General features: G+C 42.8%; 1 protein-coding gene across 2 annotated transcripts in view; it reads left to right on the top strand.

Annotated features, from left to right (window-relative positions):
* The window catches only part of NIPSNAP2 (nipsnap homolog 2), a 35,595-nt gene that overhangs the window by 5,150 nt on the left and 13,501 nt on the right, over positions 1 to 16,944 (top strand). Inside the window, exons 2-7 of one of the 2 annotated variants that reach the window (NM_001483.3) lie at positions 8,392 to 8,531; positions 8,616 to 8,661; positions 11,739 to 11,833; positions 12,476 to 12,546; positions 13,994 to 14,134; positions 15,113 to 15,144. In NM_001483.3, coding sequence (NP_001474.1) covers positions 8,392 to 8,531; positions 8,616 to 8,661; positions 11,739 to 11,833; positions 12,476 to 12,546; positions 13,994 to 14,134; positions 15,113 to 15,144 — 525 coding nt within the window. The remainder of the gene's footprint in view (positions 1 to 8,391; positions 8,532 to 8,615; positions 8,662 to 11,738; positions 11,834 to 12,475; positions 12,547 to 13,993; positions 14,135 to 15,112; positions 15,145 to 16,944) is intronic. The other variant, NM_001202469.2, reaches the window with a different exon arrangement.

Consider the following 16,944-nt stretch of genomic DNA (forward strand, 5'->3'; position numbering starts at 1 on the left):
GAACTTTGGGAGGCCAAGGTGGGCGAATCACGAGGTCAGGAGATCGAGACCATCCTGGCTAACATGGTGAAACCCTGTCTCTACTAAAAATACAAAAAATTAGCCGGGCGTGGTGGTGGGCGCCTGTAGTCCCAGCTACTCAGGAGGCTGAGGCAGGAGAATGGCGTGAACCCGGGAGGCGGAACTTGCAGTGAGCCGAGATCCCACCACTGCACTCCAGCCTGGGCGACGGAGCGAGACTCTGTCTCAAAAAAAAAAAAAAAAAAAAGATCATATGAATGAAGCACGGTGTGCTCCTGCTGCCTCATCCTGTGGTCTCAGCGTTAAGTCCTTTCCCTTCTTCAGTTTCCTCTTCCCCGCCTGATCAGCACTCACAAGCTTCTTCTGAATGCACTCCTTTCTCTTCATCCCCACTGCCATCTTAACCCCAGACCATCTAGTGAGTATTTATTGAGTGCCTTCTGCATACCTGGTGCTGCTGGGCATGGCAGCCAGGGTGCCCAGGAAGCATGTTCCTGGCCTTTGTTGCTGCAGCCATATACCACGCTCCTGCCAGGCTGCTTTTGACACTTAGATTTTTTTTTTTTTTTTTGAAACGGAGTCTTGCACTCTTGCCCAGGCTGGAGAGCAGTGGCGTGATCTTGGCTCACTGCAACGTCCGCCTCCCAGGTTCAAGTGATTCTCCTGCCTCAGCCTCCCGAGTAGCTGGGACTACAGGCGTCCACCACCACACCTGGCCATTTTTTTGGTATTTTTTAGTAGAGACAGGGTTTGGCCATGTTGCCCAGGCTGGTCTTGAATTCCTGACCCCAGATGATCCGCCCACCTCGGCCTCTCAAAGTGCTGGGATTACAGGCATGAGGCACTGCGCTTGTCCGACACTTATATTTTTTTTGAAAACTTGACAGCATCTCACCCTACACAGAATAAAGTCGCCCTCGCCTCGCCCTCACGGTCCTCCCACATGCTCTTCTGCCTTGCTAAACAGCTTGCCATTCCAGACATATGCCATTCAGTGTCATGACTCCATGTCCCTGTACATGTTGTTCCCATTGACTGGAATTAGCACCTGCCTTCTCCACCTGTCTTGCTTGCCCTCCAAAACAGAGCCAGAGTGCCCCTACTGGAGTCCCTCCTGCACCTCCCAGGCCAAGCTGATGGTGGGTTCACTTGAGCTCTTGCAGTGTATGTCTAAGTTTACAGCATCTGTGGCCACTCTGGCTGTTTACTGATAGGTTTTTCCTGTGAGACTGAATAGGCTTGGCATCTGGTTTATCTTTGTATCCATAGAGCCCGGCATAGAATGCTGACTTGATTTCAAGTCTAGTGTTTTGTATAGTGCACCCTTCCTTATCCTCTGGAAAGTGCCCCCTACCATCTTGGCGATTGTCACTGTCAGTTAAGAACCCAGGCCCAAGCCAGATCTTATCATTTGGGCAGCCGTTGGCATAGCTGCGACTCGAATGACTAGATAGGTTGGGCATGTTAGGCAGCTTTGGTCACCTGACACTCAAAGATTTCAGTTTGACGGTTGGGGGTAGTACTGGCCGGCTTGTTTTTCATTTGTCAAGACGATTGCTGCCCAAGTTCACAAGCAAATGCCACTCAGGTTCTTTTGTGTGTGCTGTGTTGATTTAGTCTCACCCCCTGCTCTGCATTTTTCGATTACTAGCATTGTCACATCCCTTACCTCATTGTACCCACCCAAAGGGGAATCCCTTTGGTATTATTATTTGTTTGTTTGTTTTAGAGGTGGTCTTGCTCTGTTGCCCGGGCTGGAGTACAGTGCATGATCATAGCTCACTACAGCATTGAACTTGTGGGCTCAAGCGATCCTCCTGCCTCAGGTTCCTGGGTAGCTAGGACCATAAGCACGAGCCACCATGCCCAGCTACTCTTTTTATTTTTTTTTGTAGAGACAGGGTCTTCCTATGCTGCCCAGGCTGACTTTGGTGTTTCTGAGATATGAAATAAATGCTCAGTTGGGGTGATTTTTATTTCAAAGGCATCCTTTATCAGTGAAAATATTATCTGTCTATAAATATACATAATATATGTTTGCCTCTGTATTTCTGGAAGGATATACATAAAACTATTAGTAGTCATTGCTTTAGTATTTCTTATTTTAAGTGAAACTCCCTAGTCAGTATTTTTAGACACTTTTTATTATATCCCTTTCTTAATTGTTCATAATTGTTATTCCTAAGCTTTTACAATTTATTTAACAAAAAAAATTGTAGACACAATTTCTGTTTAATGAACTTAAAATCTAAAATAAACACAGAAATTGGCTGGGCACAGTGGCTCACACCTATAATTCCAGCACTTTGGGAGGCCGAGGCAGGTGGATCACCTGAGGTCAGGGGTTCAAGACCAGCCTGGCCAACATGGTGAAAACCCACCTCTACTAAAAATACAAAAATTAGATGGGTGTGGTGGTGGGTGCCGCTAGTCTCAACTGCTTAGGAGGCTGAGGCAGGAGAATCACTTGAACCCAGGAGGCGGAGGTTGCAGTGAGCTGAGATTGTGCCACTATTGCCCTCCAGCCTGGGCAACAGAGCAAGACTCTGTCTCAAAAAAAAAAAAGAACATACAGAAATTACATAGTCCCATAAACAAATCTTAAAACTTTCTACTTTGTGTATCACTAATTTTATATGGTTGCCTTAAAGTAATGCGTAAGTTTCTTTTTTCTTTTTCTTTTTTTTTTTTTTTGAGACAGAGTTTCACTCTTGTTGCCCAGGCTGGAGTGTAGTGGCGTGATCTCGGCCCACTACACCCTGCACCTCCCGGGTTCAAGCGATTCTCCTGCCTCAGCCTCCTGAGTAGCTGGGATTACAGGCATGCGCCACCATGCCTGGCTAATTTTATATTTTTAGTAGAGACGGGGTTTCTGCATGTTGGTCAGTCTGGTTTCCCGACCTCAGGTGATCCACCCGCCTCCTTGGCCTCCCAAAGTGCTGGGATTACAAGCATGAGCCACTGTGCCCAGCCCATGATATTATTAAACAGATATCCCTAAATGTAGTGTACGTAAAACACTTCAAACTAATTGACAAAATGTGCTTTCATTTTTATTGGAATATGGCTGGGTGTGGTGGTTCACGCCTATAATCCCAGGACTTTGGGAAGCTGAGGCAGGCAGGTCACTTGAGCTCAGAAATTCAAGACCAACCTGGGCAGCATGGTGAAACCCTGTCTCTACAAAAAAATACAAAAATTAGTTGGATGTGGTGCTGGGCACCTGTAGTCCCAGCTACTTGGGAGGGGTTGAGACAGGAGGATAGCTTGAACCCGGGAGGTCGAGGCTACAGTGAGCCAAGATCACGCCACTGCACTCCAGCCTGAGTGACAAAGTGAGACCCTGTCTCAAAGAAAAAAAAAATACAGAAGAGAAAAGCACAATATAGACATTATATGGAGAAAGCTGTGTGTCTTTCCCCTCTATCCCTTTAAACCATTTTCTCAGGGAAACCACCATTAATGCTTTCTTAATTTTTAGGAATTTTTATATATAGTAAACACAAATTGGAAGCATCTTCAACTTACATCTGCAAATGCCACTTAATACTATATGTTTTTATCTTTCAAGAAAAATTGCATTTACTGGTATTGTTATTTTGCTTGTTTAAAGTGAGTTTGCTTCTTTTTAATCTTTGAAGGATGTGAAAACGTGCTTTTATATTTCTTTATAATTATTTATAGAGCACATTTTATTTTTAATTTATTTTATTTTATTTTATTATTATTACTTTTTTTGAGATTGAGTCTTGCTGTGTAGCCCAGGCTGGAGTGCAGTGGCACGACTTGGCTCACTGCAATCTCCACCTCCTGGGTTCAAGCGATTCTCCTACCTCAGCCTCCTGAGTAGCTGGGATCACAGGCGTGTGCCACCACACCCAGCTATTTTTTTTTTTTTTTGTAGTGTTAGTAGAGACAAGATTTCACCATGTTGGCCAGGCTGGTCTTGAACTCCTGACCTCAGGTGATCCACCTGCCTCGGCCTCCCAGAGAGCTGGGATTTAGAAGCGTGAGCCACCACTCCCGGCCAATATATTTGTATTTGTAAGTTCACATCATTCAAAAATCTTTATATCTGGTTTCTACCTATTTGAGACAATATCCTATGAATTGGTTTTTAAATTAAAAGAACATCATATTGGGGAGAAGATTGCTCTGTAATGTTTGTTCAAGAAAGCAGCAAACTAGGCTGAGTGCGGCAGCTCACCCTTGCAATCTCAGCACTCTGGGAGGCTGAGGCTGGCGGATCACTTAAGGCCAGGAATTCGAGACCAACCTGGCCAACATGATGAAACCCTGTCCCTACTAAAAATACAAAGATTAGCCGGATGTGGTGGCATGCACCTGTAGTCCCAGATAGTCAGGAGGCTGAGGTGGGAGAATTGCTGGAACCTGGGAGGCAGAGGTTGCAGTGAGCCGAGATTGCACTACTGCACTCCAGCAAGTGCAATGAGACCCTGCCTCAAAAATAAATAAATAAAGCAGCAAACTGATTTTTTAAGCAAAAAAAAAGAAAGAAAGAAAGAAAGAAAAAGGCTGCCAGTATCATGTGAAATTTAGAGCCCTACTTCTAAAATACCGTTGCTGCATAAGAATAGGAATTTCTATTATTGTAGTATGAAATCCATGTGTTCATTTCATGAAGTACTGGGGAATTTGCTCTCATGAGAGTTTTTCTTGTCCCTTGTTTAAATTCCTGGTCCCCCTTTTTAATACCTGGAGTTGCTCTTTCTTTTCCTCTTAATGTTTACCTGGTGGTATCTGGGTGCTTAAGCAAGTCTACCAAGCAGATTAGAAATACTATTGTAGAAGGCTGGGCGCAGTGGCTCACGCCTGTAATCCCAGCACTTTGGGAGGCCGAGGCAGGCGGATCATGAGGTCAGGAGATCGAGACCATCCTGGCTAACACGGTGAAACCCCATCTCTACTAAAAATACAAAAAATTAGCCGGGTGTGGCGGCGGGCGCCTGTAGTCTCAGCTACTCAGGAGGGTGAGGCAGGAGAATGGCGTGAACCTGGGAGGCGGAGCTTGCAGTGAGCCAAGATCATGCCGCTGTACTCCAGCCTGGGCAACAGAGCGCGACTCTGTCTTAAAAAAAAAAAAAAAAAAAAGAAATACTGTTGTAGAAAATCATCTAGTGTTTCTAAAGAGATCCCCAAGAAGAGGTTCACACTGGCCCATCAGCATCTGGACTTTTATGTCCAGAAGCACTAAGATTCTGGACATTTATGCTGGCCCTTTGGAATCCCAGTACATTACTGATCTAGGAAAAGGCAGAAAAGATCTATGTGTAGGTCAGTTGGAGAGCAAAAGTAGCTGGGCATGGTGGCTCATGCTCGAAATCTCAACACTTCAGGAGGCCAAGGCAGGAGGATCGCTTGAGGCCAGGAGTTCAAGGCCAGCCTGGGCAACCTGGCAAAACCCATTCTCTATAGAAAATACAAAAATTAACCAGGCATGGTGGTGTGCATATGTTGTCCCAGCTAATCTGGAGGCTGAGGTGGGGGAATCGTTTGAGCTCTGGGGGTCAAGGCTGCAGTGAGCCGTGATCACACCAGTGCACTCCAGCCTGGGCAACAGAGTAAGAGCCTGTCTCAAAAATAAAAAGAGAACAAAAGTATAAAGGGTATGCTGTGATAGACCTGGCCAGAGGTAAGATCACCAATTATAAAAGGGATTGTGCAGAAAGAAGGGGCAGGAATTCAGAAGGCTACCCTTCTGTATGATTCCATACATACGATGTTCTAGAAAAGGCAAAACTGAGGGACAAGGAACACAGCAGTGGTTGCTAGAGATGGGGAGAGGGGTTGATTATAAAAGGATTAACTTCAAGGGGTGAAGAAGCTGTTGTGATGCTGGTTACATTACTTTAGGCATTTGTCAAAACTCAGTACTGTCTGCCAAAAAAGTACATTTTATTGTACATAGATGTGAAAAACCAAGAAGATGAGGGAAACGCTGTTTGTCATTTGATCATGGTTACATAAAGTTCAGAAGAGGGCTGAGCGCAGTGGCTCACACCTATAATCCCAGCACTTTGGGAGGCCGAGGTGGGCAGATCACTTGAGGTCAGGGGTTGAAGACCAGCCTGGCTAACATGGCAAAACCCTGTTTCTACTAAAAATACAAAAATTAGCCGTGCACGGTGGCACACCATGTAGTCCCAGCTACTCAGGAGGCTGAGGCGGGAGAATCGCTTGAACCTGGGAGGTGGAGGTTGCAGTCAGCTGAAATGGTGCCACTGCACTCCAGCCTGGCAACAGAGCGAGATTCTCTCAAAAAAGTGTGTGTGTGTGTGTGTGTGTGTGTGTGTGTAGAAATTGTTCAGATAGTTCAGAAGGTTATACAATGAAAAGAAAAAACCTTTACTCCCACCCCAGGCCCAGTCATGTTCCCCAGATGTCATCACCCTTTAACAGCTCACTCTGTATGTGTATATATAGTGCTGTTCTGTGCCGGCTTTTTTACAGAATTTATCTTGGAGATGTCAGCACATCAGTGCACATAAATCTACCTCATTCTTTTTATCGAGTGCATATTTTCTGACGGGGAGTATTTCCTAATTTACGTGACCAGTCTGCATTAATGGCTATTCAAATGGCCTATGCCAGGAGATAACTGGAAACAAGACAGCAATGAATATTTGTATGCATTCAACTTTGTGCACCTGTCTAAATATAGCTGGCCGTAGGACATAACCGCAAGTGTCATTATTGGGCTGAAGTCATACACAGTTTCCATTTTGATATGGATGATGCCACACTGCCCTCTTGGGAGGTCAACAAATTTGTATTCCTATTAGCTGGCATATGGGAGTTCAACATGCACATAGATATTTGTGAAGTAGGGCCAATTGCAGTGGCTTACACCTATAATCCCAGCACTTTGAGAGGCTGAAGTGGGAGCATTGCTTGAGGCCAGGAGTTTGAGAACAACTTGGGCAACATAGCAAGACCCCATCTCTACAAAAAATTTAAAAAAATTAACCATGCAAGATGACGTATGCCTCTAGTCCCAGCTTCTCAGGAGGCTGAGGTGGGACGATCACTTGAGCCCAGGAATTTGAGGCTACAGTGAACTACAGTGAGCTATCGCACCACCACACACCAGCCTGGGTGACAGGGCAAGACCCAGTCTCAAAAAAAGAAAGAAAAAATCCATGAGTAAAGTATAGTTTGTGACTTGAGTCAAATTTATCCTCACTTTCTGAAAGCATTCACAATAGAAATTTAATTATGAGATGAAAATTAGCAAATTATGTGTTAATAAAGTTGGTATTCTGAGGTTTGTGGGGGCAGTTAAAAAATTTTTGATTTTTAAAGTTAATTTTTACAAATCTTGATTTTTTTTTTGGCCAGGCTCGGTAGCTCCTGCCTGTAATCCTAGCACTTTGGGAGGCTGAGGCAGGTGGATTGCCTGAGCTCAGGAGTTCATGACCAGCCTGGGCAACACAGTGAAACCCCATCTCTACTAAAATACAAAAAATTAGCTGGGTGTGGTGGTGTGTGTCTGTAATCCCAGTTACCCTAGAGGGTGAGGCAGGAGAATCGCTTGAACCTGGGAGGCGGAGGTTGCAGTGAGCCCAGATCGTGCCACTGCACTCCAGCTTGGGCGATAGAGCGAGACTCCATCTAAAAAAAAATTTTTTTTTGATTTTTAAGTTACTTGAGGGGTAAATTTTTTTTAAAGAAAGAATGTATTTCATTTTCCTTGTATTTTTAAAATATTTTTATTGTGGTAAAACATATATACATAAAATTTGCCATTTAAACCATCTTAAGTGCATAATTCAGTGGCATTACTTATATTCACATTGTTGTACAATCATCACCACTATCTGTTTCCAAATCAAATAATATTTTTTAAATTGTGGCAAAATGTACGTAATGTAAAATTCACCATTTTAACCATTTTAAGCATACAGTTCAGTGGCATTAAGTAGATTCACATTTTGGGGAAACATCACTACCATTCATCTTGAGAATTTCTTCATCTTCCTAAACTGAAACTCCTTACCCCAACCTCCCCTTTCCTCACCTCCTGGCAACCTCCGTTCTGCTTTCTGTCTCTGTGGGTTTATCTACTCTAGGTATCCATGTATATTTTTTCTGTGTCAAAAATTGCTTTGAAAAACACATAGTGCAAATTGCAAAGATAAATGTGGGCTCTCTTATAGGAGTGCCACACATTTTACATTTTTCTTTGCTTCTGCTTCTTGGAGTGCATGCTGTTGTCATGGAAAGCAGGCATTCTTTGGTAGCCCAGGTTCTGGAACGGTGCCTAGAATAGCTGCTCACTGTGTTTGCCAGATTAACTGATGGATATATGAAAACAGTATACTGCGTGACAACACCTTTGTTATTCCATAGGACATGGACATCTTCCAGCAACAGATCTCGAGAAGACAGCTGGCTAAAATCCTTATTTGTCCGGAAAGTTGATCCAAGAAAAGATGCCCACTCCAATCTCCTAGCCAAAAAGGAAACAAGCAATCTATACAAATTACAGTGTGAGTGACAGGTTTGCTATCTTCATAGTTGACTTTTTTTCCCCTTTGTTCCTAAGTTTATCGTTGAATTTTCTTTTGTTTCAGTTCACAATGTTAAACCGGAATGCCTAGAAGCATACAACAAAATTTGGTGTGTATACCAAACTATCCTTTACTTGGGGAAAAATAATGACTTTATTTGTTAGTTAATTCCACTAACACTTGATAGCATAGAGAGAGATCTTTCATCCCTCTCTTTTGAAGCTGAACATTCAGAGGCTCTTAAACTGAGCTTCATGTGGGATTGCCGAAGGCGTTTTGATTTTAAGCACTCACACAGCTAAATCATCATATAGGCTATCAGACTTTAGAATGTTACCAGACTCTTGTGTTTGGAGGAACTTTGCCAGGCTGTCTAGTCCATCTACTTATCCAGTGCTGGAGTCCTTTCCACAGACCTTCCTGACTGCCTGTCCTGAAGTAAGTTCCATCTCTGGACAGCTCTGAGTGTTAGGAATAAGAATTCACATCTCTGAGTCCTTCATTGATTCCCCTAAGTAAAACTGCCCTGTGAGAGTCCTGTATGTATTTGAACATAGCTGCCATTTCTTCCCAACTCCTCTGTTCTCCAGGATCCAAGTCCCTTCCGCTGATTCTCCTATGATTTGCGATCTAAACCTGCTTACAGAATTTGTAAACTTTAAGACGAAAGGGGAGAACTAAGCTTACCAGCTTTTAAGTTAACAGAAATAGTATTTTAATGACCCATGGTGAGCAAATGTGAAGAAAAAGGTTTTTAGTTTTGTTTTGTTTTTACCTTTAATATCTACTACGTTCTTAAGAAAGCAAACAATTTTGTCCCTATAATCAGCATACTTTTTAGAAGAAAAACCTTTTGTTTTTTATTGTTTTGTTTTTGAAGATAGCTTATGAAATGTAACAATAGCATTGAATTTCTTGCTCATTCCAGCACATTTCTCTTTATTAAAAAATGCCCTTAAAACAAAGCAGATGTTTATTTCTAAGTCTTTTCTCATAAAAATGGAATTTTTCCCTATGCCGATGTTGTCCTGGATTACCTTTTTTGTCCTGTCTTATCACTTCGTCTCCTGTCTCGGGTTTCTGGCTGTCTGTTCCTATTTCTATTTGATGTTGTGCTCTCACTTCACACCCAGCATGTAGAATCACCTTGCTCTTCCAACTTCCCTGTCTGTGCCACTCACCTTGTTTTACTCAGCCCGTTCCTTAGTTCTCTGTGGTGAATCTGTCACCTAAGCTGTGCATTCTTCATCGGACATGTATTTTGGTTCTCTTGTTTCCTTCTCCATCTCTCTCTCCAAGCCTCTCGAGCCCCATTCCCAAGTAGCTTTTTTTCTGACTACCTTTCTGGGCTCCAAGCTATACCTGTGTCTCCTTCCTGCCCTGCAATACATTACCCCAAAGTTTGTCAGATTGATCTGCTTGAGTTCTGTTTTCTTTTTTCATCACGTTTTTTCTTTTCTCTGAAACTTTCAGCAGCTCCCTGTTTGCAGAACATAAAGACTTAACTCCTGCCTGGTTTTTAGGGGTCCCAATAATGGGATTCTGCCCAACCCATCCAGTTCTGGGTACAAGTACTGCCTGCCTTACAATCTCCATTCAGGTAAGGCCAGGGCTCCTAAGAGCAGGTTTGGGGTCCCCAGCAAAGAGGAGTGGCTACAAATCCATGCGTGACTTTGTGTTGGTGAAAAACCTGGGCCCCGTTGCCAGGCCCCTTTCTGGACCCCACCTGAATCATGTGTACTGGGCTTCCTCCTGGGCACTGCCTCCAATGCAGGGTTGTCTATTCCTGCTCATGTCATGCGACGAAAAGGAAATGTTGGACATACATTTCCCTAGCAGAATCCCTCTTTCCCTGTCCTCGATTTTCATTGATCCCATGTTATTTCTGAACATTCATGAGTCACGCATCAGATACATTTAATATCAGATCCTAATTTAAAAAGTAAATGCTACTCTTCCAAAAGTACACATGATGTGGTCACTATACTGGGTCATAAAGATGTATGGGTTTTCAGTTAGTTAGACTTAGACCGTTTTGGAACTTTTCTCTGTTAACCATTTATGTATCCCTGGTCGTATGGAGCTCCAGTGGTGCAGTCGGTTAGCACATGGTACTTACATACCCTTGGTCCTGTAGCCCCAGCATCTGGTGGTGATCACTAGCTAAATATCAGAGTCAGCAAATAGTGTGAACAGGTTCCATTTCTTGCCCTTGATCCCCTTTTGCATCCATTGTTGAATCTGTATGATACTTTTTCATCATAATTTTTCTATTCAAAAAGTGTGCAGGTTTTAGCTTTTCTCTTGGTGTAAAACAGTTACACTCTTCCCTTTGCCTTTCCCTGTACATTAGAATCTATACCATAGGAAAGCTTCCATGGAACCAAGCTCCACTCTGACACCCCTGTTAAATTCATACACTGCCGTGACCTGTCATGGCTTTGTCCCTGTCCCTGCACAATGCGCGGGAATGAATTGGTTGGTGTGTTCGGTGCGAGACTACGTGACACCCCTCCCATCCCCTTGGCCCATTGAATTGAGTAGAACATAATTTATGCTTCGCATTGTATCTTTAATTTTTATTCTTCTGCCATGTTGATGCCCTTGGGGAGTATTGGAGGTTGGAGTCGCTTCCAGACTATGTTGTGTTCCAGCTGTCTTCTTGCTCCTTCCTGAAGGCCAGCTTGTTCTCTGCTCCTGTTACCTCTGCCTGCTGGTACTGCTTGTGTTGTCTGCCTCTGTCTTGAACATTACTTTCCTCCCTTTCCATCTTCCTTATTTCTTCTGTGTTCTTTTCTACTATTCCCCGTCTCTCATTCTTCTGTCTTTGGAACCAACAGAATGTTTTTTGGTGATGTCGTTTTTTTTCCCCTCAAATGGAAAATAGTAGACCCATAGCTCCCAAAATCCTGGGACCTTTGGTTTTTCTTTATCATCATTATACTGATTGAACAACTCTTCTAGATAGTTGGGGTATCAGAAACCTAAGCTTCTGATCAGCAGGGTGTTGGAATACAACATAATTCAGCTAAAAGGTTAACTCCACATGCCGTTTTATCATGATGTTCTAAGGTCAGTTGTTAGAACACAGAGTAGGTGGTCTTTTTCCTGTTACTGATCAGGTGCTGTCCACCTGGTCAAATTTTGCTGGTTGTTTAATTAGTGTTGCTGTTTCTTCTCTTTAAGTCAAGAGGTGTTGCCAAAGATTCACGAAGATAAACACTACCCTTGTACTTTGGTGGGGACTTGGAACACGTGGTATGGCGAGCAGGACCAAGCTGGTAGGAAGCGAAGTCTTTGGAATAAACACTTCTTCCTTAAGCCTTATGTAACACTTAAGTAATTTTCTAATTTAATGCTTGTTCTTATCATCAAAGCTTTCCAAGTCTCAGTCTAATTTTATGATTAAAGTAGTTTCTTCAACAATTCATTGCGAAAATGGTTTTAAAATTGTTTTTAATGTTTGAATCTATTATTGAACCATTATGATGTAACTCATAGGCCAAAACATGGGGCATTACAGTTTTTTTGTTTTTTGAGACAGAGTCTTGCTCTGTTGCCCAGGCTGGAGTGCAGTGATGAGTATCTAGGCTCACTGCGACCTCTGCCTCCCGGGTTTAAGCGATTCTTCTGCTTTAGCCTCCCAAGTAGCTGGAAATACAGGTGCCCACCACCACACCCAGGTAATTTTTGTATTTTTAGTAGAGACAGGGTTTCACCATGTTGGCCAGGCTGGTCTGGAACTCCTGACCTCAAGTGATCCGCCTGTCTCAGCCTCCCAAAGTGCTGGGATTACAGGCATGAGCCACCACACACCCAGCCTACAGTTTTGTGCTGTGTTAACGTTATACCTATCTAGAACATTTTCAAGTAGTAGTATCATGAAATTCTAAACGTATACTGTCTTTTAAAATGCATTTCAGTCCACCTCTGGAGGTATGAAGGAGGCTATCCAGCCCTCACAGAAGTCATGAATAAACTCAGAGAAAATAAGGTAATGATATTGAAAAATGTTTACTTAGACTAATGATATATAGATGTTAGTACAGAATTAAATGACTTTTCTGTCTTCAGTTTTTGTTAATAAACTTCATTTTTTTGTAACAGAAATTTTATTGTTTGGACTCCTGAAGTTGTATTTAAACATAAACAGTTGTAATACTATTCAAACAACAATTCTGACCGGGCGCGGTGGCTCACGCCTGTAATCCCAGCACTTTGGGAGGCCAAGGCAGGCGGATCACAAGGTCAGGAGATTGAGACCATCCTGGCTTACACAGTGAAACACTGTCTCTACTAAAAAAAATACAAAAAAATTAGCCGGGCTTGGTGGCAGGCACCTGTAGTCCCAGCTACTCGGGAGGCTGAAGCAGGAGAATGGCGTGAACCCGGGAGGTGGAGCTTGCAGTGAGCTGAGATTGCGCCACTGTACTCCAGCCTGGGCGACAGAGCAAGACTCTGTCTCAAAAAAAAAAAAAAAATTCTTATTGTTCTTATTATAAAAGTCAATTATGCTTTGAAACTGATAAGGTGGTACTTTGAAACCGGTGACTGGGCTGGGTGCGGTAACTCATGCTTGTAATCCCAGCACTTTGGGAGGCCAAGGCAGGCATATCAGTTGAGGCCAGGAGTTTGAGACCAGCGTGGCCAACATGGCAAAACCTCATCTCTACTAAAAATACAAAAATTAGCCGAGCATGGTGGTGCACAACTGTAATCCCAGCCACTCGGGAGGCTGAGGCACGAGAATTGCTTGAACCCAGAAGGCAGAGGTTGCAGTGTGCCGAGACTACACCGCTGCACTACAGCCTGGGCAGCAGAGTGAGACTCTGCCTCAAAAAAACAACACAAAAAAAACCCCCAAAAGACTGGTGACTGGTGTATCAATCAGCATGGCAGGCACAATTAGCTCTGGATGACCTAAAACTGTCTAATTCAGGAACTGTTTGTCACACACATAGAGTTTATCTTGGGCTGACTTTGCTTTCCACCCTCCCTTCACTAGCAGGTGTTTGTCAATAGGGAGAAATTTAAAAGCCACACATCATTAAGAAAGAAATTCTTTTGTATAGATTCCCAGACAAATATAAATAGGTTTTGAATTATCTGCTCTTTTGTAGTCTGCATGCTACTTCTATTGATGTGCCATCAAACACTGTTAGAAGAATCTAAAAATATAGCAAATTAAATTTGTTTGCATTGCCACCTAAATAATTAGGATGACCAAGTAATTTGTCATCTAAACCTGGACACTTTTGAGAATGAAAAGGAATGCTGTTAATGATTATGCAAGCTCAACAGATGTAAACTGGGACTGTCTCAGGCCAACTGGGACCTGTTGATTACCCTATTATAGTATTCTGTAGGAACATCAATGTTACTGAAATGGGCTTATATGTAAGTATCAGAAGATTTCATGAGCACATTTTTTTCACTCAAAGGAATTTTTGGAATTTCGTAAGGCAAGAAGTGACATGCTTCTCTCCAGGAAGAATCAGCTCCTGTTGGAGTTCAGTTTCTGGAATGAGCCTGTGCCAAGATCCGGACCTAATATATATGAACTCAGGTCTTACCAACTCCGAGTAAGTACAGAAATATAAGTTATTCCTTTTACTCCTCTGTGAAAAAGCACAAGCATTTTGTAAGGCTGACAACAGAACTTGTGTGTACATTCTGTGATGTATGTCTAGCATTATATGTATATATATGTATTTTTTTAAGACTGGGTCTCACACTGTCACCAAGGCTAAGCTCTTTTGCTTTTTATGGCCTTACACATAATGCTTATTATTTGATATTTTTCTAAATAACATATTTGTTTTTAAGAAGAAAGACCTAAAGTGCAGGATAAGGTACAATATGTAACATCTGTTGTGGTTAAAGGAGAGCAGCTAATAAACACTGTGACTGTTGAACAAATTATATAACATGATAAGAGTAAAAGGCAATAATATAACACTTTCTAGAAATTTTCCTACTGAGGACTAGAAAGAAAGCCCCACATAGCAGCATTATTAAAGTGGCTAATGCCTGTAATCCCAGCACTTTGGGAGGCCAAGGTTGGAGGATTGCTTGAGCCAGGAAGCTTGAGACCAGCCTGAACAACATAGTGAGACCCTGTCTCTATTAAATTAAAAAGTAAAGTTTTGGCTGGGTGTGGTGGCTCATGCCTGTAATCCCAGCTTTTTGGGAAGTCAAGGCAGGTGGGTGACCTGAGGTCAGGAGTTTGAGACCAGCTTGGCCAACATGGTGAAACCCCATCTCTTACTAAAAATATAAAAAATTAGCCAGGCATGGTGGCGGGCGCCGGTAATCCCAGCTACTCAGGAGGCTGAGGCAGGAGAATTGCTTGAACCCAGGAGGCGGAGGTTTCAGGAGCTGAGATTGAGCCACTGCACTCCAGCCTGGGTGACGGAGCAAGATTCTGTCTCAAAAAAAAAAAAAAAAAAGGTTTTTTGAAGTTAGTTTTGTCACTTAATGTTTTTTCTACTGCTGTTTGCTATTTCTGTATTTTTTTTTTCACAGAAGAACTAACAAACCAAATCTAAATCTGTTTTCAGCCAGGAACCATGATTGAATGGGGCAATTACTGGTGAGTATATTACTGAATGGTGATTTTTTAAGTCTTGTGAATAGATTAGTTTAGGCCATAGTGTTAATTCTAGGGAAAAAAATCTGAGGATAGTACTGTGACTTAACACTGCACTAATGTTTCGTTTGATGTTTTTATTATGAGATTTTTCAAACATACAAAACTAGAGAGAATAATGGGGCTCCCCTTCCACATCCATCTCTTAGCTTCAATAATTAACACATGGCCAATCTTGTTTAGGCCTAACTCCTTCAACCCAGATTGTTTGGAATTAAATCCCAGACAGCATTCTATTTCATTCATAAATATTTCAGTACTATATATATTTCTAAAAGATAAGCACCTTTTTTTTAAAAGCAAAACCAATATTGCATAAGGTTAGTTTACATACTTCTTGGATATCATCTTTTCTGAAACGTTACTTTTGTCATATATACACACCATGTCAATAATGGTTTCTTCTTTTTTTCCTTGCTAGTTTGAGTAGAAAAATAACAATTTTTCCACAAGTTGATATGTAGATTCAGCAGAATCCCTATCAAACTCCCAGCAGGCTTTAGAAGTGCAAAAGACTAGCCAGGTGCACTGTGGCTCATGCCTGTAATCCCAGCACTTTGGGAAGCCAAGGCAGGAGAATCACTCAAGTCCAGGAGTTCAAGACCAGCCTGGGCAACATAGTAAGACCCCCAACCTCTACCAAAATAAATAAATAAATAAAACTAGCCAGGTGTGATGCCACATGCCTGAGGTCCCAGGTATTTGAGAGGCTGAGTAAGAGAATTGCTTAAGCCCAGAAGATGGAGTTTGCAGTGAGCCAAGATTGCACCACTGCACTCCAGCCTGGGCAACAGAGTGAGACCCTGTCTCAAAAAAAAAAAAAAAAAAAAGTCCGGGCATGTTGGCTCACACCTGTAATCTCAACACATTGGGAGGCTGAGGTGGGCAGATCACCTGAAGTTAGGAGTTCGAGACCAGCCTCGCTAACATGGCAAAACCCCATCTCTACTGAAAATATAAAGATTAGCCGAGCGTGGTGGTGCACTCCTGTAATCCCAGCTACTTGGGAGGCTGAGGCAGGAGAATTGCTTGAACCCAGGAGGCAGAGGTTGCAGTGAGCTGAGATCACACCACTGTGCTCTAGCCTAGGTGACAGAGTGAGACTCCTTTTCAAAAAAATAAAATAAAAATAAAAATAAAGACTGGGCATGATGGCTCATGCCTGTAATTCCAGCACTTTGGGGAGGCTGAAGGAGGAGAATTGCTTCAGCCCAGACGTTTGAGACTTTGAGACCAGCCTGGGCAACATGACGAAACCCCAACTCTACAAAAAAATACAAAAATTAACCGGGCATGGTGGCACACACTTGTAGTCCCAGCTCCTCGGGAGGCTGAGGTGGGAGGATCACCTGAGCCTTAAAGGTGGAGGCTGCAGTGAGCCATGATTGTACTACTATTCAGCCTGGGAGAGAATAAGACCCTGTCTCAAAAAAATAAAAAATTAGGGCGGGGATGGTGGCTCACACCTGTTATCCCAGCACTTTGGGAGGCCAAGGTGGGAAGATCACTTGAGGTCAGGAGATTGAGACCAGCCTGACCAACTTGGTGAAACCCTGTCTCTACTAAAAATACAAAAATTAGCCACGTATGGCGGTGTGCACCTGTAGTTCCAGCTACTCAGGAGGCTGAGGCAGGAGAATCACTTGAACCTGGGAGACAGAGGTTGTAGTGAGCCAAGATCACCCCATTGCACTATAGCCTGGGTGACAGCAGACTGTTTCAAAACAAAACAAAAAATTGCCT

Source organism: Homo sapiens, chromosome 7, assembly GCF_000001405.40.
Source record: "Homo sapiens chromosome 7, GRCh38.p14 Primary Assembly".
NCBI classification, from domain to species: Eukaryota; Metazoa; Chordata; class Mammalia; order Primates; family Hominidae; genus Homo; species Homo sapiens.